The sequence below is a fragment of the Homo sapiens genome, chromosome 1 (assembly GCF_000001405.40).
Source record: "Homo sapiens chromosome 1, GRCh38.p14 Primary Assembly".
Classification (NCBI taxonomy): Eukaryota; Metazoa; Chordata; class Mammalia; order Primates; family Hominidae; genus Homo; species Homo sapiens.
This window is the reverse complement of record NC_000001.11, coordinates 935768-960057: the sequence shown is the minus strand read 5'-3', so window position 1 is coordinate 960057 and position 24290 is coordinate 935768. Positions and strand designations below refer to the sequence as shown.

General features: G+C 62.9%; 2 protein-coding genes across 4 annotated transcripts in view, besides 9 other annotated features; one reads left to right on the top strand and one right to left on the bottom strand.

Moving 5' to 3' along the window:
- Window positions 539-798: a silencer, noted in NCBI's record as "silent region_7". NCBI's record gives its function as "represses an Ori minimal core promoter by ATAC-STARR-seq in GM12878 lymphoblastoid cells {active_cell/tissue: GM12878}" and the evidence as "EXISTENCE:reporter gene assay evidence [ECO:0000049][PMID:35858748]".
- Window positions 539-1534: a biological region, named in NCBI's record as "H3K27ac hESC enhancer GRCh37_chr1:893904-894761".
- Window positions 677-1534: an enhancer, noted in NCBI's record as "H3K27ac hESC enhancer chr1:893904-894761 (GRCh37/hg19 assembly coordinates)". NCBI's record gives its function as "activates a minimal SCP1, AML or CMV promoter by ChIP-STARR-seq in naive and primed H9 embryonic stem cells {active_cell/tissue: H9 hESC(naive and primed)}" and the evidence as "EXISTENCE:reporter gene assay evidence [ECO:0000049][PMID:30033119]".
- Window positions 802-15855, top strand: NOC2L (NOC2 like nucleolar associated transcriptional repressor). Its single transcript, NM_015658.4, has 19 exons — window positions 802-843; window positions 977-1129; window positions 2785-2959; window positions 3033-3164; window positions 3843-3963; window positions 4045-4135; window positions 5976-6054; window positions 6166-6276; window positions 6770-6883; window positions 7458-7646; window positions 7919-8058; window positions 8820-8931; window positions 11455-11568; window positions 11826-11927; window positions 13513-13656; window positions 13772-13885; window positions 14405-14540; window positions 14912-15001; window positions 15258-15855. The coding sequence occupies exons 1-19, from the start codon at window positions 818-820 to the stop codon at window positions 15362-15364; spliced, it is 2250 nt and encodes a 749-aa protein (NP_056473.3). The 5' UTR covers window positions 802-817; the 3' UTR covers window positions 15365-15855.
- Window positions 909-1018: an enhancer, noted in NCBI's record as "active region_5". NCBI's record gives its function as "activates an Ori minimal core promoter by ATAC-STARR-seq in GM12878 lymphoblastoid cells {active_cell/tissue: GM12878}" and the evidence as "EXISTENCE:reporter gene assay evidence [ECO:0000049][PMID:35858748]".
- The window catches only part of SAMD11 (sterile alpha motif domain containing 11), a 20652-nt gene continuing 11845 nt past the window's right edge, over window positions 15484-24290 (bottom strand). The window contains exons 5-14 of one of the 3 annotated variants that reach the window (NM_001385640.1): window positions 24162-24286; window positions 20929-21018; window positions 20646-20786; window positions 18752-18914; window positions 17807-17922; window positions 17570-17648; window positions 17000-17499; window positions 16681-16805; window positions 16250-16360; window positions 15484-16150 (exon numbers count right to left, since the gene is read on the bottom strand). In NM_001385640.1, coding sequence (NP_001372569.1) covers window positions 15905-16150; window positions 16250-16360; window positions 16681-16805; window positions 17000-17499; window positions 17570-17648; window positions 17807-17922; window positions 18752-18914; window positions 20646-20786; window positions 20929-21018; window positions 24162-24286 — 1696 coding nt within the window. In that variant the 3' untranslated portion in view covers window positions 15484-15904. Of the gene's footprint in view, window positions 16151-16249; window positions 16361-16680; window positions 16806-16999; window positions 17500-17569; window positions 17649-17806; window positions 17923-18751; window positions 18915-20597; window positions 20787-20928; window positions 21019-24161; window positions 24287-24290 lie in introns of all 3 variants that reach the window. The other 2 variants (NM_001385641.1, NM_152486.4) reach the window with 2 other exon arrangements.
- Window positions 16703-16842: an enhancer, noted in NCBI's record as "active region_4". NCBI's record gives its function as "activates an Ori minimal core promoter by ATAC-STARR-seq in GM12878 lymphoblastoid cells {active_cell/tissue: GM12878}" and the evidence as "EXISTENCE:reporter gene assay evidence [ECO:0000049][PMID:35858748]".
- Window positions 18075-18274: a silencer, noted in NCBI's record as "silent region_6". NCBI's record gives its function as "represses an Ori minimal core promoter by ATAC-STARR-seq in GM12878 lymphoblastoid cells {active_cell/tissue: GM12878}" and the evidence as "EXISTENCE:reporter gene assay evidence [ECO:0000049][PMID:35858748]".
- Window positions 18345-18414: a silencer, noted in NCBI's record as "silent region_5". NCBI's record gives its function as "represses an Ori minimal core promoter by ATAC-STARR-seq in GM12878 lymphoblastoid cells {active_cell/tissue: GM12878}" and the evidence as "EXISTENCE:reporter gene assay evidence [ECO:0000049][PMID:35858748]".
- Window positions 21412-22123: an enhancer, noted in NCBI's record as "H3K4me1 hESC enhancer chr1:873315-874026 (GRCh37/hg19 assembly coordinates)". NCBI's record gives its function as "activates a minimal SCP1, AML or CMV promoter by ChIP-STARR-seq in primed H9 embryonic stem cells {active_cell/tissue: H9 hESC(primed)}" and the evidence as "EXISTENCE:reporter gene assay evidence [ECO:0000049][PMID:30033119]".
- Window positions 21636-21685: a silencer, noted in NCBI's record as "silent region_4". NCBI's record gives its function as "represses an Ori minimal core promoter by ATAC-STARR-seq in GM12878 lymphoblastoid cells {active_cell/tissue: GM12878}" and the evidence as "EXISTENCE:reporter gene assay evidence [ECO:0000049][PMID:35858748]".

Here is a 24290-nt window from a genome sequence, read left to right as displayed (position 1 = left end):
CTCCGGGGAGCCCCGGGGCCCCGCGGCACCAAGAAGTCGAATGGGACCCCGAGGCCAATCCGCCCGTGTTCGCCTCACGCGCCCCCTCAGCGCCAGGGCTGGGGGAGCCGTGCCTGCGCCCCGCGGCGCCCTTGTCGCGGGGTCTGGCTGTCCAGGCCCGGGGGCCCGGGTGTCAGGCTGGTAGCGGGAAGGAAGGCGCCGGCCTCCCCACCGTCTTCGTCCCGTGCGGCGTCCCCGGGAAGAGCCGCGGTCGGCACCCAGAGGGCCATGGACGGGGAGCGCCCTGCGTGGTGTTCGTGGCGCTGGCCCGGTCTCCGCGGATCGGAGGCGAAGCCAGCCTGGCCCTCGGGTCGCCCGTCTTTTGTCGAGCTGGCGACATCAGTGCGGTTCCCACTGCCCCTCGCGTTTTCCACTGGACTCCCTGCTTTTTATTGTTGATTTGTGGGAGCTCTTTGCATAGGAGCCCCGCCGTTGCAGTCTGGCGTCCTCGCAGGCGCGTGCCTTCGGAGCGCCGGGTGGGCTGCGGGCGCGGCGGGACTCCCGGTCTTCCCCGGGGCGGACACCGGCGTCACCGCGTCCTACGGAGCCGGGCGCCGAGCGGGAGGCGCATCTGGGCCCCACCGGGGCTGCCCGCACCGAGCACGCGAACGCGCCCTCCCGCCCTGAGGCCGCCGGCGTTGCGGTCGGAGAACCATAGAGCCACTCGGCTGGGCGTGGCGCGGCGGGGCGGGGAAAGGGGCGGGGCCTGGGCGGCGGAAGTGCGCAGCCGCGCGGCATTCTGGGGCCGGAAGTGGGGTGCACGCTTCGGGTTGGTGTCATGGCAGCTGCGGGGAGCCGCAAGAGGTAAGCCGCGGGTCCGAGGGCCGATTTGGCCTCCCGGTGGGTGTCTGTATCCAAGGGGGCTTTTCTTGCTCCTCTCAGCGGGGCTGGGGCGAGCTGGGCGTGCGGGCAGCTGTGACTCCTGCGTGACCCGCAGGCGCCTGGCGGAGCTGACGGTGGACGAGTTCCTAGCTTCGGGCTTTGACTCCGAGTCCGAATCCGAGTCCGAAAATTCTCCACAAGCGGAGACACGGGAAGCACGCGAGGCTGCCCGGAGTCCGGATAAGCCGGGCGGGAGCCCCTCGGCCAGGTTAGTGGGGACATGCGTGAGCAGAACCTCTTGCTCGTCCTGTCCCACCCCGGTTGGGTTGCTGACCTCGCCTGGGGTCTCAGGGCCAAGGCCTAAGGATCGCCGACCTCTGCCCCCCAGTCCTTTCAGCTTAACTTACTCTTTCATCCGATGTTTACTGAGCTCCTGTTCCGTGCCAAACTCTGTCCTAGGCAGGGAGCGTATGTTGGTGAGTTGTGCAAAAATCTCTTCCCGATCTAGGAGAACTCTCACGTTCTTGGGTGAAATCACCGCCTGCAGTTCGGTAGAAGAGAGATAAGTGCTGGGGAGGGAAAGGAAGGACAGAGGGGCTGAAGAGAGAGTTGCAGGGGAGCCGAGTTGCTCTGTTAGAAGGAGCGGAGGCTGTGCTCGGTGGCTCACGCCTGTAATGCCAGCACTTTGGGAGGCCGAGGCGGGCAGATTACCTGAGGTCAGGAATTCGAGACCAGCCTGACCAACACGGAAAAATCATGTCTCTACTAAAAATATAAAAATTAGCCGGGCGTGGTGGGCACCTGTAATCCCAACTACTCGGGAGGCTGAGGCAGGAGAATCGCTTGAACTTGGGAGGCGGAGGTTGCAGTGAGCCGAGATGGCACCATTGCATTCCAGCCTGGGTGAGAGAGTGAGACTCCATCTCAAAAAGAAAAAGAAAGAAATCAAAAGATACAAAAATTAGCCTGGCGTGGTGACACACACCTGTCGTCCCAGCTACTCGGGAGGCTGAGGCAGGAGAATCGCTTGAACCCGGGAGGCGGAGGTTGCGGTGAGTGGAGATTGCGCCACTGCACTCCAGCCTGGGCGACAGAGTGAGATTCCGCCTCAGGAGAAAAAAAAAAAAAAAAAAAAGCGGAGGTGGTTGTTTGAGAAGATGACGTCTGAATAAAGACCTCGAACAAGGAGGCCACACAGACAGTAGGGGAAACGTGTCTTAGGATTTCAGGCAGCAGAAAACAGCAAAAGCCTTGCAGTGGGAGCATTTGGGGAGAGTACAGAGGTAAACGTGGCTACGGCAGGAGTGAGGGGGTGAATAGGGGTAGATGAGCCCAGAAGGGTGATGAAGAGCCAGGTGCCGTAGACCGTCATAAGATTGCCTCGTAAAACAGGGAGTTACTTCTGGGTTTGAGCGGTGGAGTGCCTTGTAGGTGACAAGGGTGGAAACAGAGAGACCTTTAGGTTAACTGAGAATTGAACTATGTGGTGGTTTGAGAGGAGGCACGAACGGTTTTGAAGGTGTTGCTGATGAGATCTGATGACAAGTTGCGTGCTGGGTATTAGAGACAGAGATTTGCCTTTAGTCTGAGCCTCTGGAAGGGTGAAGCCACCATCAGGCAAAAGTAGCGCAGGGCACAGGCACAGCAAGTCCAGGGAAGACCGCGGCTGGGGGCCTGTGTAGCGCAGGGCGCAGGCACAGCAAGTCCAGGGAAGACCGCGGCTGGGGGGCCTGTGTAGTGTGTTTGAGGGTATGTTGTAGAGGTTGTTGGGTAGGAGACGTGAGTCTGCCAAAAACGTACCTCCTGGCAATCCTGTCTTGCTAGTTGGTAACCCTTGTGAAGGGAGTAGACTGACCCTGTAGGCCACTCCCCGCCCCCTCTACTTCCACTTCCCACTGGGGTCGCTGACTTCTGCCTCCTCAGCCGGCGTAAAGGCCGTGCCTCTGAGCACAAAGACCAGCTCTCTCGGCTGAAGGACAGAGACCCCGAGTTCTACAAGTTCCTGCAGGAGAATGACCAGAGCCTGCTAAACTTCAGCGACTCGGACAGCTCTGAGGAGGAAGAGGGGCCGTTCCACTCCCTGCCAGATGTGCTGGAGGTGAGGGCGTGGGCCAAACCAGAAGGGGGGCACTTGTCTCTACACTCTCCTTCAGCTCAGCCTTTCTGTGCAGGAAGCCAGTGAGGAGGAGGATGGAGCGGAGGAAGGAGAAGATGGGGACAGAGTCCCCAGAGGGCTGAAGGGGAAGAAGAATTCTGTTCCTGTGACCGTCGCCATGGTTGAGAGATGGAAGCAGGCAGCAAAGGTGAGCAGCAGCCAGGGGCGGGCAGCTGGGTGCCCAGGCAGAAATCTGGCCTTGCCTCACCTGAGGTGAGCAGCAGCGAGGGGCGGGCAGCTGGGTGCCCAGGCAGAGATCTGGCCTTGCCTCACCTGAGGCGCCTGAGGCTGTGCTGGTGGGAGGGGCTGTTCTCCACGCAGGGGACGCTTGGAGCCTTCTTCAGCGCAAGTGACAACACGTTGCTCCTCCTGCTTGCTTGGTTGCCCCAGGACTGTGTGTTCACTTTTGGGTAGATTCCAGGGGCTCTGTTGGCGCCCCACTCCCCAAAGTCAGTCCCGCTGTGGGTGGGACGGACTGTGCCTTTGTTGGTTGGTGGAGCTGGGGTCCTTCTGAGCCTCTCACAGTGTTTTTTTCCAGGGACAAGGATACGGAGAGCTCCAGATACCACCTGGAGGTGGCCATAGTCCAGGATCTGGAACTCCCAGTCCTTTTCCTGGGGCTCCTGAGCCAGACTCCCTCCTCTTCCCAGAGAATTCTAGACTTTGTTTCCATTTTTGTTATCAGTATGGGGCTCTGTGCCTCCCCCCAACCTCTGCCCTATGTCTGAGGGTGAGGGTGAGGGTGCCTTTCTCTGGGGCTGCCGTTTCCACTCTGCCAAGTGCAGTCTCAGCTCCCCTGACGCCCCTGGTACTCTTGCTCCTTCAGCAACGCCTCACTCCAAAGCTGTTCCATGAAGTGGTACAGGCGTTCCGAGCAGCTGTGGCCACCACCCGAGGGGACCAGGAAAGTGCTGAGGCCAACAAATTCCAGGTCACGGACAGTGCTGGTGAGCTTGGGGGGAGCCTGGCATCCAGGCTGTCTGTTGCGTTCTCTGTCCCGTGAGTACATCCAGGCCTTTTCGTTGCAGCATTCAATGCTCTGGTTACCTTCTGCATCAGAGACCTCATTGGCTGTCTCCAGAAGCTGCTGTTTGGAAAGGTGGCAAAGGATAGCAGCAGGTAAGAGGGGAGGGGGTGAAGGGGGGTAGGGTGGAAGGTGGGTCGGGACCACACACAGGAGAAGCCAGAGGCCTTGTGGCTAGGACAGAGACATGGCAACAGAGCCAGCGTCTTCTTGGGGACCCTGAGAAGGCAGCGGGGCACGAGGGACCGTTGGGAGAGGCTGGGCACTTGGGGCCAGTTGGAGCGGCCCCACCTTCTTTCCTTCCTGAAAAGGGAAGTTGTCTGCTCAGAGTCTCAGAAGGTGTGGCGTGTGCAGCTGCCTTTGCTCTCAGATTTTCCCAGGTTAGGGTTCTTGCTCTATTTCCCTTTGTAAGAACTTGTAAGTCCTGTCCATACTCCTTGATCTCTGCACTATGACTGGCCTGTTTCCTGGAGCTGTGTGTGTCTGTAGACAGGGGCCTCATCAATGCTGAGAACCTGAGGGCCTCAACTTCCCCTTTAGAGAAAGATTGGGCAGAGAAGGCCGTGGAAGGTTTTCAGAGAAGAGAGACGCACGGCCAAGCATTTGGTAGAGCATGGAGCACGTTGGGGTTCCGGGGCTGTGCAGCCATGTGACCTTGAGGCAGTGGAGGCCTAGAGTTGGAACTGCCCCAGGACACCTTCAAAGGAAGAAAGGAGACCCACAGGAGAGGTCTCGCCGACAGCGGCTCAGGAGACAGGGGCACTGTTGCTGGTGGTAGTGGTCGGGGCTGGACGGATAGAACAGAGCCATGTCCACATGGAGGCAGTGCTGTCCGAAGGGGACAAGGAAGCTGGCAGATGGGGGTGGAGGGACAGGCAGCGATTGGGAGGCAGCACGCACTGCAGCCTGAGCCACCAGGTCAGGGACCCCTGTCGAGGCAGCAGCTGTACCGGAGGGAGTCAGGCCGTGGGGAGCAGAGCTGCCTCCTGGGTCTGGGTGGGCAGCTGCAGGTGCCCAGCAGCCAGTGTCAGCACAGGTGTGAGGAGGGTCGAGGACGGGGGGCCTTTCTGGGGCCCTGCCCTTTGTCCTTCCCATGCTTCAGCAGATTTTAGTGAGCGCCTACTGCGTGGGCTCTGGTAAATGTTTTGTTTTGTTTTGTTTTGTTTGTTTGGTTTTTGGTTTTTTTTTTTCCTTACGAGATAGGATCTTGCTCTGTCGCCCAGGCTGGAATGCAGTGATCATAGCTCACTGCGACACGTACCTTCTGGATTCAAGTGATTCTCTCACCTTAGCCTCCCAAGTAACTGGGACTCCGCCACCAGGCCTGGATAATATTTTGTATATTTTTGTAGAGACGGGGTCTCACTGTGTTGTTCAGGCTGGTCTCAAACTCCTGGGCTTGGAGTTTGATCCTCCTGCCTTGGCCTCCCAAAGTGCAGTGAGTACTGGCATGAGTCTCCACACCTGCCCTCTGATTTTCTTTTCTTTGTGCAGCAAATGTGGGCCAAAGGAAACCAGTCTGCGGCAGTTGGTGGTGCCTGGGCGACCCCAGAGGTGCTGAGTACCAGCTGCTGGGCTTAGGGACCTCGTGTGGTCTCACGGTGGGGATGTGATCAAGGGGACCTAGAAAAGGTTTATGTCTGAGAGGGAGTTGGAGGCTGGGACTTCCGGGGACTCTTAGGGCGGTGGCCAACCCTGGGCAGGGCAGACAGGAGTTCAAGGCCACTGAAGGAGGAGCTAATGCACTTGAGAGGGTCCTCCTAAGCCCCTGTGTCTGTCCAGCTGTAAGGGGCCCTGAGCTTTTTTGAGTGGAGAGACGGGGGGTCTCTGCAGAGTCGTAGAGGCTATGCTGGCCAGGGCACGCGCCAACATGCTGAGCAGCCTCGCGTCCGAGCCGTGGGGCCTCCCAGCCAGGGGTGGGTGGTCTCTCTGCAGGATGCTGCAGCCGTCCAGCAGCCCGCTCTGGGGGAAGCTTCGTGTGGACATCAAGGCTTACCTGGGCTCGGCCATACAGGTGCTATTCTGGTGGGGAGGGCACGGGGGCCTGGCTGTATCTGGTGGTCGGTCCTTTTTTGTATCCCAGAATACATGGGTTTGGGGCTTCACTGTCCCCTCCTGCCCCCAGCTGGTGTCCTGTCTGTCGGAGACGACGGTGTTGGCGGCCGTGCTGCGGCACATCAGCGTGCTGGTGCCCTGCTTCCTGACCTTCCCCAAGCAGTGCCGCATGCTGCTCAAGGTTCGTGGCCCAGTCCCCTCCCTGTGTCTGTCATGGGGTCGGGGGGCCACACGGCTACCCCCACCACATCCCACTCCTGGCCAGGGCACAGGTGGTGCCCACACTCCACTGGCTCCGCTTGGCTAGAGAGGCCACAGAAGCACCTGGCCCCCACCCCCACCTGGGGTTTCTGTCTCAGGCAGTCCCTGCCTGCCCGGGCAGCGCGGCTCAGTCCGTGAGCAAAGCCACGGTGAGGTATCTTCTTCCCGGTGTGATCTCACATACGTCGGCGTGTCTGACGTGGTAAACTTTTGTGGTCCTCTTCTCACAAGGAGCAACACACCTGTTCTGTTCACTTCTGTAACTGAGCACCTAACTCACGGCTCCCCCGAGGTGCTTTGGGAAGAGCTGGTGGCCATGGGAGCCTTTGCCTGGCTGGGGAGGGCTGTGCTGGCCCTGGGGCATCCCTGCTGAGGAGGCTGGGGGGCCACCAGTGACGTCTGACCTTCTGCAGAGAATGGTGATCGTATGGAGCACTGGGGAAGAGTCTCTGCGGGTGCTGGCTTTCCTGGTCCTCAGCAGAGTCTGCCGGCACAAGAAGGACACTTTCCTTGGCCCCGTCCTCAAGGTAGTGGTGGGCCCTGCGTCTGTGTCCCTCAGCATCTGCATTGGAAATCTCGGCCTAAGGGCAGGGCGGGCTGCCTTTGTGGTTGGTGCCCCTCACTGGACCCTCACTGCAGCTCTGAGCAGACCTGGGCCCTTGGATCACGAATGTCTCACAGAGCACCTGGGGGTGGTGGGCAGGGAAGAGAGCCCTCGGCCTTCTCAGGGCCCCACCTGGACCCTGCTTCACACAGCTTCCCCAGGGGAGGGCCTCTCTGGCTGGAGGAGGACACTGGGTGTTGGGACCTGAGGCCATGGCCAGGGTACAGTCCTACTGCCCGTCCCCAAGCCATGGGTGGCCTGCATGTGGGGACCCTCAGCCCCCAGAGGGGCCCAGTGTGCAGCAGGAGCTTCTGCCCCAGCTTCTCCCAGGCCTGAGGCTGGTGGGCACTTGGGGGTGGGGGCTGTGCAAGGGGCTACGGCTCTTCCTCGAGGCCCAGCTCTGAGGGAAAGGCCCAGGTGTTCACAGGGGCCCTGGAGTGGGCGGTGGAGGTGCATGGCCCTGATCCCAGGTGGCTCTGACCCGGGTCTCTCCGCAGCAAATGTACATCACGTATGTGAGGAACTGCAAGTTCACCTCGCCTGGTGCCCTCCCCTTCATCAGTTTCATGCAGTGGACCTTGACGGAGCTGCTGGCCCTGGAGCCGGGTGTGGCCTACCAGCACGCCTTCCTCTACATCCGCCAGCTCGCCATACACCTGCGCAACGCCATGACCACTCGCAAGAAGGTGTGTGGTGGGGCCCTTCCAGGCTCATGCTGGGCATGGGGTGGGGCAGCCCAGGTGCCCGACCCAAGGCAGGGCCTGGGGCCTCCCCGAAGCCCCTGTCTGGAGACAGCCCAGCACCCTGGTGCAGTCGGTCCTTGCAGGTGGGGGAAGGGTGGATGGGTTGAGACCCCGTGTGCAAGATGAGGAAATGATTCCTGTGCCGGCCCAGGAGGAACGTGCATCAGCCTGACTTGTCAGCCTGGCCAGTAGCTGACGTGGTTCTCTCTGACCAGGAAACATACCAGTCTGTGTACAACTGGCAGTATGTGCACTGCCTCTTCCTGTGGTGCCGGGTCCTGAGCACTGCGGGCCCCAGCGAAGCCCTCCAGCCCTTGGTCTACCCCCTTGCCCAAGTCATCATTGGCTGTATCAAGTGAGTTGTGGGGTGGGCAGGGTTGTGCGGGAGGGTCAGGAGAAGCAAATTTGCTGGGACTGTGTGGGCGGTGCCTCTGGCGTTCAGGGCCTTGGGGCCTGAGTCTGTGTCCTGGCCGTCCCTGAGGAAGGGCTGGGGTCCCTGTACCTGCTACGGGGAGATGCTCTGGATTCTGGAGAGCTAGGGCTGGTGGGCACCTGTGACATGAGCTCCTCCAACAGCGGTTTAGCCGCCTCGGGTGCCACCCAGCGTGTGTTCTGGGGGCTTGTGTGCAGTTTGCAGTGAGTTTGGTTCATTACGTGGGGTTCTTGGGTGGAGCACATCTGATGCAGTGAACTGCATTTTGGGTGTGAGCGCTTAGGAGGGTCCAGGCACGGTAGGGGCTGCAGCAGGAAAAGGTGGGAGCAGTACTGTGGCCTCTTTGGCCAGGAGGGGGCATCTGTCTGGCTGAGCCTTAGAAACTCAAGGCTGGGAAGGGAGGTGGGAAGTCCAAGGGAAGAAGTAGGAAAGGCGGGAACAGGGAGGAGAGCAGGCAGGAACAGATGACCCCTGCCACCGTGTTGAAATAAAGCTGAAAGCTGGGTAAGGTACCTGCAGCCCCATAGCTGGGCAAGGGGTGCAGGTCCCTGGGGTTCAGACGTGCCTTGTCCTGCTTTAGGGGTCTGATGTCGGTGAGTGGGGGAGGAGGTCCAAGACAGCAGGGGGAGGGGCAGGGGCTGCCAGAGCCGGGGCCTCTGCTCACTCGGCCTTCCCACCCCCAGGCTCATCCCCACTGCCCGCTTCTACCCGCTGCGAATGCACTGCATCCGTGCCCTGACGCTGCTCTCGGGGAGCTCGGGGGCCTTCATCCCGGTGCTGCCTTTCATCCTGGAGGTGAGTGAGGCTGTGGTGGGCGTGTGGCACCTCTGCCTGCTCCTGTAGGGAGCATCTGCTGCTCCGGGCGTCTGTGCTGAGTTGTCCGGCGACTTCCCGGAGCCCTGGCCGCCTCCTTGTCACGGGTGTCACGAGGACAGTGCTCCTCCGTGTGCTGGGGGCAGTGTTGGGGAACGTGGGACCACTGGGGATGAAGGCGGCTGCTGCTAGGGCTGTGCTTGAGGATGCCGGGACCTGACCCTGTAGGTGCTTGCCCAAGACTGGAGTAGGCAGGAGGCGAGATGGGCCAAAACCCAAGTCTGATTGCTGAACTGTACACTGAACAGTGCCCTGCCCTGACAGTTGTGTGCATGTGTATGCATTTGTATGGGGGATGTGTGTACATCTGGGTGGGTGCGTTTGTCTGTGCATGCATGCGTGTGTGTGCACCATCTGGGTGCATGGGTCTGTAAATCTGTGTGTGTGTGCATATCAGTTCATGTGTGCATCTGTATGTGTGTATGCACGTGTATCCATGAATGCCTGTGTGCCTGCAGGTGTGTGCATCTGTGCGTGTGTACACCTGTGTGTATGCATGTGTGTACCTTTGCGTGTACCTTTGCGTGTGTGCACCTGTGCATGTGTCTTTGTATACCAGTGTGTACCTGTGTGTACCTGTATGCATGCACATGCGTGTGTACCTGTGTGCACCTGTCTGCATGTGTGTACCTGTGCGTGTGTGCACCTGTGTGCATGCATTTGCGTCTGCATGTGTCTACCTGTGCATGCATGAACCTTTGCATGTGTGCATCTGTGTGCATGCATGTGTGTCTGCGTGCATCTATGTACCTGTGTGCACCTATGTGCATACACACGTGTCTGTGTGCACTTGTGTGCATGCATTTGCATCTGCATGTGTGTACTGTGCGTGTGTACCTGTGCGTGTACCTGTACACTTGGGTGCATGCATGCACGTCTGCTTGTGTGTGCCTGTGCGTGTGTGCACCTGTGTGCATGTACGTGCGTCTACGTGTGTGCCTGTGCATGTGTGCGCCTGTGTGTACCTGTGTGTATGCATCTTTGCACGTGCACATGCCACTCAGGTAGGGAAAGATTGGAGTCCGAAGTTTCAACTTTCAGTGGGTGGGTTAGGCCCCACCCCGCTGTAAATTTAGGAATTCACGATCTCCACCCTGTTTATCTAATGAGTTCTCAGCCTCATGAAGGCCCAGAGTCGTGTCACAGCTGTCCTTGGGGCTGGGTCCCCAGGTTGCTGGGTCCAGAAGGTATGGAAGCCCCAGGCACGTTCTGATTCCCCTTCCACTGAGGCAGGGATGCTGAACATCTTTAGGAAGCCATGTTCACTCCCATGGCAGCCAGCAGTGGTCTCTGATTGCCCAGCCCTTGGCCTGGCCCCTGTGTCTGTGGGCCTCCAGCTCTGCTGCCCAGCTCCAGGCATGCTTTGTGTCTGTTTCCCTTGTCCAATCTCCTTGGCTACGTGCTTTCTTACTCTCTTGCAGTGTCTGTTTCTTCACTTGTGCACTGCCCTGGTTCACTGCAGCCGCACCCTGTAGGCCCCTCTCACGCAGGGATGCAGGCCTCTCCTCTCCGGAAAAAGCAAACCCTAAAAGCTAAAACAAAGCCCTCAGCTGTAGGCCGTGCCTGCCCTTCCCCGGTGCCTGGACAGGAAGCCAGTCGCCTGCCCATACTTTTGGCCCAGGCTAGAGAAGGGCAGTGTCCTCCCAGAGGTTCATCAGTACCAGGGCGTTTTCCCATCTGGACCTGAGCTCAGCTGTCTGGCAGCCACCCCTGCTGAGTGGGGTGTCTTGCTGGGGCCTCCACCCTTGGGCCCCCCATAATCTGCTTCTGTCCTCTGGTGCCCCAGCATGTACCCTGGATCTCTCTGGTTCACAGCCTGAGGGCTCCTAGTGGTTGGGGAGGGGTCACAAGACTGAGAGGCCAGGCTGACTCTTTCTCTGCTCCTCCTGGCATGTCCTACGGAGGTGCATGGCCTGTGGCTTCTGTGGAGGGTGTGGGAGGGGCCCCCCAGGCCTCCCGTGACCTCCATCTGTCCCGTCCTGTGTCTGGCACTCTTTGCTGTTGCTGCTGCGTCTTCTGGTTGCTCGGGACGGAGCCCCATGTGGCATTGCTGTGCTGAGGGCCAGGATGGGCCTCAGTGCCATGTTGTCAGGAATGGGGGCTGTCCTGGTACTCTGTGTGGCAGGGACCTCTAGGTCTCCAGACGTGGGTCCTTAGTGCTTCCCAGGATTTTGGGAGAGGGCCCGTGTTCCTGATCCTTCCCTGCTGATCAGAGCCCCACTCGGGGACACGCCAGGCTGTGTGGGGCCATGGGGCTGGGACCGTGCCTAGCTGCTTATCTCTTGTTTCGGGTTGGGTCTCCTCGTGCTGAAGCCTGAGGACCAGGGTGACCAGGGTGCAGCCAGGTGCAGGGCCAAAGGGACCAGGGGGACCAGGGTGCAGCCAGGGTGAAGCCAGGGTGACCAGGCATGGGGCCGAGAGAGCCTGACACGGCCCTTGGGGCAGATGTTCCAGCAGGTCGACTTCAACAGGAAGCCAGGGCGCATGAGCTCCAAGCCCATCAACTTCTCCGTGATCCTGAAGCTGTCCAATGTCAACCTGCAGGAGAAGGCGTACCGGGTGAGGCTGGCCTCCTGGGGAGGGGCCTGGGCAGTTCCCAGGGTGGGGTTGGGGGTGCTGAGGTGGATGGGAGGGGGCTGGCATCCTCCAAGTTCAAGCATGGACCTTCATGGTCTCCCAGGGCTGGGGCCCAGGAGCCCCTTCCTTGCAGTCCGTGCCCTGGAGATGGCGCTGCCCTGACAGCCTGAGGGGAAGGGGCCTGAGTGCCCAGCCCCAGCCTCTCCCTGATGCACTCGGCCCTCTCTCCTGCTCTTCAGGACGGCCTGGTGGAGCAGCTGTACGACCTCACCCTGGAGTACCTGCACAGCCAGGCACACTGCATCGGCTTCCCGGAGCTGGTGCTGCCTGTGGTCCTGCAGGTGTGTGTCCTGCCCACACCGGCTCGTGGCCGACTCAGACTGTCTTATAACGGGCTTGGCTGCCCCAGGCTGGTAGGAGGTGCCCTTGTCCCGGGTACCTGGGACTGGGGTGGAACCTGACTGCTGGCAACGCGCCCCGTGAGGCCCCCTTGGAGGGGCTGATGAGGGGTTCTAAGCCATTCAGGAGGTTTGGGGGCAGGCCTGGGCAGTGGGCTGAGGACCCTGGGAGCACAACAGCCTCCTCCCCAGGTGGGAACCACAAGGCTGATCTTTGCTTCGGGGTTGGGACTGAGCATGCCGACCCTGGCTCAGGCTGGTACGCTGATCGCACACTTCCCCAGGCCATCCCGGGTGTGGGGAGTGGGTGGAGTGGCTTCTCAGGTGGCAGGAAGGCCTGGCCTGCCCCGCCAAATACCCCACATCAGCCTCATAGGAAGGCCCAGCCTGCCCCGCTAAATACCCCACGTCAGCCTCATCTTAGGCAGGAGTGGGGTGGAGGAGGGGGTTCTCCTTATCCTCAGAAGGTCCTTCTGGGCCCCCACGGGAGGTCTGTTTGCTCTCAGCCGTGATGTTTCCAGCCTCAGGGAGGCCTGTGCCTAGTGGAAGGGGTGGGGGCCCTGCTGTCTGGCCCTGGTGGCTGGAATCAGATGTGCCGACTATAGGTCTGTGCAGTGTGGGGAGGAGGGATCTGCTCACATGAGCCACAATTGGTCAGAGGCTTATCCAGATAGAGGTGTGTGCATGTGTGTGTACTCACACACGGCCACACATGTCACATGCACAGAGCCGGGACCCCCTTTCTGGGGGGCACTCACAGCAGGGGCCACAGCCTCTGTTCCTCCCATGTCCTCTTGGGTGGTGATACCTGGCATTGGGGCATCTCTGCTTCTGGACTCAAGGGCCCAGGGTCGGGGTCTGGGGTAGGGGTCAGAAAATGTTTTTGGTGAGGGGCCAAATGGTAAACGTGGCTTCCTACGGATGTTCAGCTGCACAGGCAACTGCAGAACCATGCAATGCACACGTGTGGCTGCACGTCAGCGAGACTGTATTTTATTAGTAGTAGTAGTATTGTTTGAGATGGAGTCTCGCTGTGTTGCCCAGGCTGGAGTGCAATGGTGCGATCTCGGCTCACTGCAATCTCCATCTCCTGGGCTCAAGCGATTCTCCAGCCTCAGCCTCCCAAGGAGCTGGGTTTACAGGCGCCCACCACCACACCCAGCTAATTTTGGTATTTTAGTAGAGACGGGGTTTTGCCACGTTGGCCAGGCTGGTCTTGAACTCCTGACCTCAGGTGATCCACCCGCCTCAGCCTCCCAAAGTGCTGGGATTACAGGCGAGAGCCACCACGCCTGGCATAAAACTTTATTTCCAGAGGTGAGTAGTGGGCAGGGTTGGCCCAGAGGGTGGGCTGATTCTGCCTCTGCCATCCCAGCTGCAACAGCTATGCACTTGAGCCCTGAGATGGGATCCATGTCCCCTCCTGGGGTATCCCCGTGGCCACCACGCGTGGTTTTGCACAGGACCTGGGCCAGCTGTGCACATGGAGCGGTCCTGGGCTTCAGTGGCTGACCCCTCCCTTCCGCAGCTGAAGTCGTTCCTCCGGGAGTGCAAGGTGGCCAACTACTGCCGGCAGGTGCAGCAGCTGCTTGGGAAGGTTCAGGAGAACTCGGCATACATCTGCAGCCGCCGCCAGAGGGTTTCCTTCGGCGTCTCTGAGCAGCAGGCAGTGGTTAGTGGGCCCTGGGGGTAGTGCCACCTGAGGGCACCTGCCAGGGTATAGCCCCAGCTACATGTGGGGGTTTGCCCAGGGTGAGGCATGACCCTGAACTCCCCCAACCCCCCAGGAAGCCTGGGAGAAGCTGACCCGGGAAGAGGGGACACCCCTGACCTTGTACTACAGCCACTGGCGCAAGCTGCGTGACCGGGAGATCCAGCTGGAGATCAGTGGCAAAGAGCGGGTGCGGCTCGGCGAGGGGACCTGGGGGTGTGTTGTGACTTCCTGGGTTTCAGATCTAGCGCACTATGACTTGAGACCAGGGCGAGGGTTTGGAAACAGTGCCAGGCGGCCAGGGCCGTGCCCGGATGATTCGACTTGGAGAGGGGGTAGGTGTTGGAGAACTGGCCAGAACCAGGCGTTTCCAGGGAGGGGAAGCCCCAGGCTGCACTAGGTTGGGGAGGCCATGCCCCCTCAGGCCTGATGGGCTGGAGGCTCCGGGCAGGTGGAGTGGCTGGACTGACCTCGTCACCCAGGCCAGTATGTGGGCACCAGGGGCCCGTGAGGAGAAGCAGGAAGGGCTCTGCCTTTGACCTTGGACATGGGATGGACAACTTGGAGGATGGCTTTGTGATTTGGGAACAGAGGGGACTAGAAATTGGCCACATGGGGCCCTGGTGGTGGGTCTGGCGATGCCTGGCCCTGCTGTGGCCGCCAGCCCCTGCCCTCTCTCACCTGAGCCCCTGGTTCTTTGGCCTTCCAGCTGGAAGACCTGAACTTCCCTGAGATCAAACGAAGGAAGATGGCTGACAGGAAGGATGAGGACAGGAAGCAATTTAAAGACCTCTTTGACCTGAACAGCTCTGAAGAGGACGACACCGAGGGATTCTCGGAGAGAGGTGGGGCCTGCGTGGTGCTCCCAGGGGAAGGGTGGGCCTGGAGGGCTCTGCTGGACTTCCCAGAGCCACGAGGGCCACCTGTACCCATCCTGCAGGGGGCTCACCAGTCTCTGGCCCAGCTGGGGCCAACCTCAGTGTTGCCAGGCTTCTGGTGCCAGCGCCTTCCCTCCTTGAAGTGAAGGCCTACTGGGATTGGTAACTCTGTCCCCAGGCCTGTGACCTCCCAGTTCCTCCCCAGGGCTCCTCTCCACCTGCTGGAAGTCAGCGGAGGGAAGGGTGTTGGGAGCCTGGCCACCCTCCTGCCCCCACTGTGACTTTGCTGGTGGACCCTGTGGGTGGGAGTCATATGGACTCTGCTTCTTGTTCCTCAGGGATACTGAGGCCCCTGAGCACTCGGCATGGGGTGGAAGACGATGAAGAGGACGAGGAGGAGGGCGAGGAGGACAGCAGCAACTCGGAGGGTGAATGGTCTTGGGGTGAGAGGGTGTGGCCCTGTGAGCCCATCTGGCGGGAGGGCAGAGCCACGTGGGCGGGGGGCGTGGGGCTCTGGGCCAGGCTTTTCCCTCCCTGGGAAGGCCAGGCCAAATGCTCTGTTCTCTGGCAGCCAGCAACAGGGATAAATTAATTAGTGCCGTGATTAATTAGTGATGAGTAACCTCTAAGGCTGGCTTCTTCCTGATAAAGCAAAATTTATGTAGCCTCCATCTCTCCCCGCAGATGGAGACCCAGACGCAGAGGCGGGGCTGGCCCCTGGGGAGCTGCAGCAGCTGGCCCAGGGGCCGGAGGACGAGCTGGAGGATCTGCAGCTCTCAGAGGACGACTGAGGCAGCCCATCTGGGGGGCCTGTAGGGGCTGCCGGGCTGGTGGCCAGTGTTTCCACCTCCCTGGCAGTCAGGCCTAGAGGCTGGCGTCTGTGCAGTTGGGGGAGGCAGTAGACACGGGACAGGCTTTATTATTTATTTTTCAGCATGAAAGACCAAACGTATCGAGAGCTGGGCTGGGCTGGGCTGGTGTGGCTGCTGAAGCCCCACAGCTGTGGGCTGCTGAAGTCAGCTCCGCGGGGGAGCTGACCCTGACGTCAGCAGACCGAGACCAGTCCCAGTTCCAGGGGGAGGCCTGCAGGCCCCTGGCCCCTTCCACCACCTCTGCCCTCCGTCTGCAGACCTCGTCCATCTGCACCAGGCTCTGCCTTCACTCCCCCAAGTCTTTGAAAATTTGTTCCTTTCCTTTGAAGTCACATTTTCTTTTAAAATTTTTTGTTTTGCATCCGAAACCGAAAGAAATAAAGCGGTGGGAGGCAGGGCCATTGTGTTGAGTGGTGGCTCCTGGAGATTTGTGTGGCCCCACCCCTACCCCCGGCAACCTCAACACAGAGGCTGGGAAGGGTCGGGGGCCCCTGGAAGTAGAGCCAAGGTCCCATTCTCCTGCTTGGGTGAAGTTTGACCGGCAAGGGCGTGGCCCCCTCCATAGGGGGACGTGGCCGTCGTGGGGGACAAGGGCTGCTCTCCTGTGCCGAGTTCTCGCTCCGGGGCCCGCAGGGTTGGTGGCTGCAGTGGCAGAGCCACGGGGAAGCTGGCCACGTAGAAAACTCGGCCCAGGCGCCTGGCCACCTGCAGAGAGATGGCCTGGTGGGGGCTGTCGCACACCCACCCAGAGCTTTCTGCCCAGCTGTGGTCTGGAGACCCTGACCTCACTCCCCAGCGTCTCACCTGGGCCCGGATCTTGAGGGCGGGCCCCAGCTTCAGCCCCATGTTGGTCAGCAGGTGCTCCTCCGTCAGCAGTGGCAGGGTCTCCCCGTCGATCCCCTGCTCCCTGAAGACCTGGAAGGGGGAGGGAGGGAGGGTCAGGACCCGGGTGCTGCTCCATCCTCCAGCCCAGCAGAGCCAAGAGGAGCTGTTTGTGCAGCTCACGGAAATTTTTTAAAAACAGTGATCTGTTGGGTTTGAGTGTCAGGCAGAAAACACCTGGCAAAAAAAAAAAAAAAAAAAAAAGGTGGGGTGCACAGTCCAGTCCCTGCTGCGCACTGCTTTTGGGGAGGGAGAGGGCGTTGGGGAATGGCCCTACCCCACCATCCTTTCCAGGGAGGTAGTGACTGCCAGCCAGCTCCAGCCCCGCCCCAGGAACTGGGGCCCCCCCTTACCCGAGTGTACTCTCCACAGCCAGACAGGCCCCCCACGAAGCTGCAGACGTCATCCACGGTCCACTTGGTGACGTCCTCAGGGGCTGGGGCCTCCTCCCCATCCATGGAGAGTCCCCCTACCGCGCCTGAGTTGTGGGGCGTGTTACTAGGGCTCTGGCTGGCTTTCCCATACCCGCCCGTCTCCTGACCGTCGTGTGCCCCAATTGCTGAGGTGGGGGATGGGTGCCTAAGGGGAATTTTTCCTCCCCCCAAGACCCTTCCACAGGCGGCCTGCCAGTCCTGTGCCCTCTGGAAGGATCTAGAGTGTGGGGGTGCCCACCTGTGTGGAAGTAGGGGCTGACGGCATAAGGGAAGCCCAGGGGCAGTGTGGACCCTGGGAAAAGCCCCTTCCCCTCGGCGCCGGCCCCTCCAGCTGGAGCTTGGCCCGGAGTGGGCCCCCTGCACCCAACAGCTGCCGTCTCGGGGTCCTCTCCGTCCGAGTCTTTGGGGGGCTCGTCTTCCGAGCCATCTTGTGCCCAGAGCCTAGCCCCCGTCATCTCCTTGGACTCGCTGGGCCGCGCTGAGGCAGGGCCGGGACCCCCCTTCCGGGGGGCTCGCCGGGCAGAGTCCCGGGACGGGGTGGGGGGTCCGGAGCCCGGGGGCCCCTGGGGGGGCAGGGCCAGCAGTGGCGCCGCGCCGTGGTTCAGCACCAGCAGGGCCCCGCGCCGCTGCAGCTCCTCGGCGCCGTCGTTGGGGCGCAGGGCGGTCTCGGGCGCCAGCAGCTGTGGGCGCGCGCTCTCCAGCTCCTTCTGCCGCAGGAGGTCGGCGGGCAGCTCCAGCCTGGGCCGGGGGCAGACGCGGGTCAGCCGCCTCCCGGGCCGCGCGGCCCCGCCCGCCTCCCCGCACCTACCGGGCCAGGTTCTGCTTCCGCAGGAGCTCCTGCTGCCAGGCGAACATCTCCGCCTGCGCGGGGGGCAGGAAGCCGTAGCCTGGTGGGGAGGGGGACAACGCGGGGTCGGGGGGTCCGAGGCGGTCCGAGCCGGCCCTTTGCAATCCCCTACCCGGTCCGTCTCGGCTCCGACAGGGGCAGGGCCGGGTCCGCGAGCCTCCACGCGGGCTCCCAGGGGATGCGCACCCGCCTCCTCACCTGGGGTCTGGCACAGAGCCGAGGGCACCCCCAGGAAGGGGGGCCTGAGATGGGGGCCCAGGGCGACGTGAGGGGCATTCTGCGGCGACAGCAAGGGGGGCGGCTGAGGCAGCTCCCTGTGGACGGCAGCGCAATGAGCGGCGTCCCCCCCGCCCCCGTTCCCGTAAAGGCCCCGGCGCCCCTCCCCCGCCGCCTCCGCTAATTGCCGGCCCCGCGGGCGGTCGATGCGCAGCTCGTTACGGCCCCAGGTCGCGCGCCATCCCCGCCCCCGCCGGCGGCGCCAATTAATCTCGGCGGCGGCGCGGAGGCGCTGACCCGGCGGGCGGCGACGGCTGCAGCGGTAATTACTGCGCGGGGCGCCGGCCCCGCCTGCTCCCCTCCCCTGCGGACCCGAGCGGCGGGGGAAGCGGGGGCGTCATTAGCCGCAATCCGGGCGGCGGTGGAGGCAGCTGCAGACGCCGGGCTCAGCGGCCGGGCAGGGACTCGGGCCTCAGGCGGCCCCTCCCTTCTCCAGGCGCCCCGCCCCGCCTCGTGTCCTGGACCCGAGAAACCCGGGTCTGTGCCGGAGGCCTTGTCTGTGCCGGGAACAGATCCGGCGCCGGCGTCTACATTTGAGCGCCAGCCAGGACCCCCCCTCCGCCTCCAGCTCTGAGTCCTCTGGCCGACCCCTCCCGACTGACCCCGGGGTTCCAGACTTGGAGCTCTCCCCTTCTCTGGCTTCTCCTCCAGGGAACCCCCTGATGGGCCTCAGCCTCCCTCACGCACCCCAGTGGCGCCCTCAACACTGCAGCCCAGATCGGTGTCACCCCCGAAACGCTCTGCCCGGACCCGAACCTAGAGCTGAACACAGTGCTTGGCACTCTCGGGGCGCGTGCTGGTGGCTGAGAGCGCGGGGGTGCGGGCGGCACCCCAGAAACAAGCAGAGAACGGCAGCCACCCCAGTACCTCTCCGAGAAGGACGGGGCGGCAGCTGGGGCGGCGCCCTCCCGGTGCTGAGCCAGGCCCTGCTTCCGACGCTGACCTGCCGTGGAGGAGGGCAGGTGGGCTTCCAGGCCACTGGGGCCCCTCAGAGCTGCAGCCGCCACCTCCTGCCGGACCCTCAGGAGATCTGGGTGGGGGACAACAGCAGTGATCCCCCCGGCTATGCGCCCTCATCCTCCCCAGCCCGCGTCCTGGCGTAGAACACTGAGGTGGGGAACTGACCACACCACTCGGCCGTGCTCGGCCCCTGGGCTGGTCTCGGGCACGGGGCAGGAGGATGGGCGGCCACAGGGCCGAGACGGCAGACAAGATGCTGGGCGAGGAAGTGTCGGGAAAAGCTCTTCCCCGAAGGGGAGCCGGGTGCCTGGAGGCTTCCGGCCTGAGAGGCGGCTGAGCCTTGCGGGGAGGGGGCTGTGCAGACGTCCCGAGGCCACAGAGCCTGCGGGGCAGCGAGAGAGTCCAGAAGTGCCAGCCAGGGGCTGACCGCCCAGGGGACCCCCTCTTCGGTGGGAGGCAAGAAAATCTGAGGTCCCCATAGTAGACGCGGCTGGCCAAAGCTTGTCACAAAGGCAAGGCAGCGCCCGCGCACGCACGCCACACTAGCACAGGGGTCGCCCAGTCCCGGCTGCGCAGGGTCACTGTCCCGCGTGGCCACACTCGCCCCAATGCGCACGCAGCGCCCGCGTCTAAGGCGCCGCGTCCCAGGTCTCTCGGCCTCTCCCTCCCGCCCGGGCCTCCCGAGTCCCCGCAGCCCCCACTATGCAGGCTCCGCCAGCTCCACCGCCGCCTCTGTTTATAAATTAATTACCCGAAAGCGGAGGTGGGTCCCGCCCCGGGCCGGGTGCCAGCCCGCAGAGCCCAGCCGGCGCGGCCGCCCGCATCGATCCCAGCGGGGCCCAGCGCCCCCGCGCTAGCGGCCGGGTTAGTTACAGGGTTATTTACGGCCGGCTCCGCGGCGGGGCGGGGGGGGGGGGCGGCGGCGCGGCCTGATTGACAGCGCGCTCCCCGGCGGCCGGCGCCCCTCCCCCGCGCGGCCAGCAGAGCGGCCCCAGGCAGAGCAGGGAAAGCAATTAAAAAGGAGGATTTTTACATTATTAACATTTGGTGAATTATTCAGGCTCTTGGTGCCTGAGCTGCCCTGGGGGACGGTGCCTGGTGTGAGGAATCCTGCCTCCTTTCCCGGCGCCCCCACCCACCTCTAGCCCGAAAAGCCAAGCTCCCCTGCCAGGCGGGCGGCTGGGGCCTGGGAGGCTGAGTGCAGCGGGCAGGGGGTCCGAGTGCATCCCGGAGGGACCCCTGGAGAACGTCCTGAGGTGGGGTGGACAGGGTCAGGGCCGACCCGGGGGAAGGGGCAGCCCCTCCAGCTGGCGTCTCTTCAGCACCTGGGGAGTCCTGGTGGCCAAGTGCCCACTGCACCCAGCCCGGCCTTTCTGCTCACTGCCCCTCCCCAGGCTCCTGGGGCAGGCGTCTGGCAGGTCGGCGTCCACTGGCTGCATAGACGACTCACAGACCACAGGGTCCAGGAGCTTGCTCTCCTCGGGGGGTGCTGCTGACATGCCCACTGCCCACCCTCACCTGGGTCCACCCCAGACTCCATTTCTCTCTATATAAAATGTGAGCTAGTCATGACCCTGGGGACCTAGGGGACATGGAGGTGTGGCCCGCCCCAGGGGGCATGGGGCAGGACGTGTGGCAGAGGGACCTGCATCCAGCCTGGCCTTGGTGTCAGCAGGGCCTCAGCAACAGGAATGGCCGAGTACATGTGGCTGGGGAGGTGATGAGGGGAGATCATGCCAGGGTGGGTCCTCACCGTGGCTGGGGAGGTGATGAGGGGGATCATGCCAGGGTGGGTCCTCACCGTGGCTGGGGAGGCCCAGGTGGTAGAGGCGCTGAGGGTCCTCAAAGGTGCTGGCCTCGCTCAGTGCTGACACAAGCCGGCGGTAATGGTCCTCCGGGGCCATGCTGGGCCCCAGCTCCCGCGGCAGCAGCAGCGCCTCTGCTGGGGAGGACCCGGGGTGAGAGGTTTCTCCAGGCACTGCCGAGGACCACGCCCCTCTAGAGTGCCTGCTCGAGGTCCAGGGGACCCTCAGGGACTGCCCCCTCCCCTGGTGACCTGTCTCTCGTCCCAGCCACGCTCTTACCTTGAGGCGATTCGCTTCGTGCCCTCTTCTCTGAAAAGCAGTCGCTGCTGATACGGGGGGAGCGGCCCAGCCTCTTGCCCAACAGGTCACCTGCGGGAGGGTAGTGAGTGCCCACCTGCATCTCAAGGAATGGAAGGGGAACCCAGCCCCTGCTCCAGCTCAGCCTGGACCGCACCCACCATCTCTCAGGGGGCCCTTGGTCCTGGTGAGTACAGGCCTTGCCCAGCCCTGGCAGCCCCAGCCTTCAGCGCAGAGGACATCACGCCTGGCTGTGGCGGGACAGGGGCACAGGGGAGCTCTGACACTGGCCCTGGTGCGTGTGTGCAGAAGAGATCCACAGCAGGCACCCAGCTGCCCCACCCGCCATCTAGCCTCTTGTGCAAGTTAACGAGCCCCCCTCTCATCCCCCTAGAGGAGAATAAAAAGCTTTTGGTTTGACCAGGCACCACCTTCCCCTCCTGGACAGGAGTGAGGGCGGGCTGTGCAGGGTCACATGCCAGCGTGGGGTGAGACAAGCCGGGAAGGACCTCACACCTGACCTCTTGCTGCTCTGTGAGTCACTGGGCTGTGGGCCCCCCAGGCCGCCTCGAGGCGCCTCCACTCCCAGGCCTCCTACTTGGTCATACCCATCCCTGCCCCCAGAAGGCCCACGTCCTCCTCTCTGGCCCAGTCCTGCCTGAGCTAGCACCCTGGCGTGGCTGTCATGCCCTTGTCCACCAGCCCAGCCAGGCTCTGGGCTTCTGGGGTGCACCTCCCAGTAGCTTCACCCACCTCCTCAGCCACGAGGCCAGCCCAGCCCTAGCCCCAAACACAGCCCAGCAGGTGGCAGAGGGGAGGCCCAGGCCAGGTCCAGCTTCAGCCCCAAACACAGCCCAGCAGGTGGCAGAGGGGAGGCCCAGGCCAGGCCCAGCTCACTCTCCTGAGGTCCTCCCTTGGGTCCTGCCGACCGCACCCATTCCAGACCACACCATCCATGTACCCATCTCCGACCCACCCCGAGCTCCTCCGAAGCCCCTGACTCCACGCCCTGGGGGTCTCCCAGGCCAGCCAGTGCCTCCGACTCTGGCCCTTCCTCATCCTCATGAGGGCTCTAGCTGGGTGGAGTGAGGGGCCACTCCCCTGTGACCCAAGACCTCCATGAGGCCTAGGCAGTGGGGCTCCCAAGCCCGTCCCCCCACAAGCCCTGCCGTCAGCTCCAGGCCTAATTCCTTTTTCTTATTCCCTTAATCTGTCATTTTTATCAGGCTGGGGAAGTGCGGCGGCCACACCGATCAATCCCACATTACAGCTGACAGAGTGGTGCTAATAACTTATTGATCCTGGCCCGGCTGCTGTCAGGCCCGGCCCCAGAGAGAGGGTCAGTCCCACGGTCTGGTCCAGGGTCCCCACCTCGGTGACAGATCGGGTGGCTGGGCCCGGCGGGCGGCGGGGGGCACCTGGCCACACACGGATCCAGGCACCACTGCTCAGGCCCCTGAGAAGCCATCGTCTCCCCCACAGCCTCCCGTGCCAGAGCTCGGTGGGCTGGGAGGGGGTGGGCCAAGGCTGGGGGAACCTGGCTCTTTTCCACACCTGCCACCTGGCCCACCATGCACATGCCCTCAGGGTTAGCAAGGCCTCTCACCTCCTGGCAATCACTTTTCCATTGTACACAGTGGAAACTACCCTCTCCGTTCTGTGGGGGGCTAAGGCCTCCTCCTAGCCTGGGGGAGGTGACTGGGTGGGGGGGGGGGCAGGTGGAAGGGGGCCTGCAATGAGACCGCAGGAAGGCCGATGAGGCCATGCTCACTCCTCACTCATGGACCCCAGCGGGTCTCACAGAGGCAGATGCAGGACCTGCTCTGAGTCCCTCACAGCCCAGGGCCCAGGGAGGTGCGGCTTAGCGGGAGGGCCCGGGCTGGGAACAGGATGGATGTGTGGTTCCTGGGGTCACAGGAAGGGAGAAGAGGTGAACGCCCCCCAGGGTGAATGCCCCTCCAAGAGGAGGCTCCGGGGAGCGGGCCAGACCCTGACACGGAGTGCGTATGGGAGACCTGGACACGGGTCCAGGACACGTGAGGCCCCGTAGAGCCTGTGAGCCCGGAAGTGCACGAACACGTCCTGACTCCATGGGTGAGAGCTGCCGGGCAACCCCCATCACGTGCACCCCACAGGACCCCAGACACAGACATGCCGGCACACGCACACGCGTGTACCTGAGGAGGTCTCCCTGTGTGAAGGCACAGGGGAGGGCCTGCTGGCTCAGAATATCTCAATCATTGTGGGGCTCCCTCCGCTCTGCTGGATCGATGGGGCAATTAGATTTTATCAACCGCCTCTCAGCTGTCTCCAACGCGGCATCAGAAGCTGCCCCCACCCAGCCCCACAAGGGCCTTCCTAGGTGCACGAGGACGCGGATGGGGGCCATGGATGGGGGACACAGATGGGGGTGGGCCTCCCCCACCCCTCCTTCCCAAGAGATGCAGGCCCTGCTGGGAACACCCCTGCCTGGGGTCCACAGGGCCTCGGGGCGCCCCCGCCTCCTTTCACGGCCTGCCCTGGGGCTGAGGCTCTGCTGTGCCCCTCTCTACAGCAGTGCCCTCTGAGGGGGGCCTGGTCCCCCCACAACTGTGACCAGGCAGCAGCACCTCCCTCAGGCGCCGGATCCCTTCCCTCCCGAGAACCCCATCCTTCCCGGAGCCCTAGAAGGCGGGACCGACCGGGGACCCCCTCCGTCCAGGAGCCCTAGGAGGCGGGACCGGGGACCCCTTCCGTCCAGGAGCCCTAGGAGGCGGGACCGGGGACCCCTTCCGTCCAGGAGCCCTAGGAGGCGGGACCGGGGACCCCCTCCGTCCAGGAGCCCTAGGAGGCGGGACCGGGGACCCCTTCCGTCCAGGAGCCCTAGGAGGCGGGACCAGTCATGCGTGCGCTGCGGGAGTGCGTGCGTTCCTCCAGGGTGTGCGTTTCTGAACCTCTGAGGCCACGCCTACGTCTGCCCTGTGGAAAGGGGGTGGCAGGGCCCCGGCTACTCCAAGCCCACCCCAGCGGCAGCCACAGCGGAGCCACCGCCTCTGCCTCCTGTCTGCCCCGCTGGCTGGGATTAACACAATTACCATCCCATGCAGCCCCTGGGGGACAGGCCGCTCCTCCTGCCTCTCTGGCTGCCTGCCAAGGCTGCTGGTGCTGAGTGGAGACGCCACCGTCCTCTGGCCCCACAGCCCCGACCCCGCCCTCAGGCCCCCTGTGCTCCTCACCGGCGGGTCGCAGGCCAATCTCCAGGCTGCCTCTCTGGAATTCACAGCGGCTCTGATGCTCGGGCATAACGAGGTGGCGGCTGCGGTGGACGCTGGATATGAGGGTGGGAAGGTTGCCGTCCTGGCTGC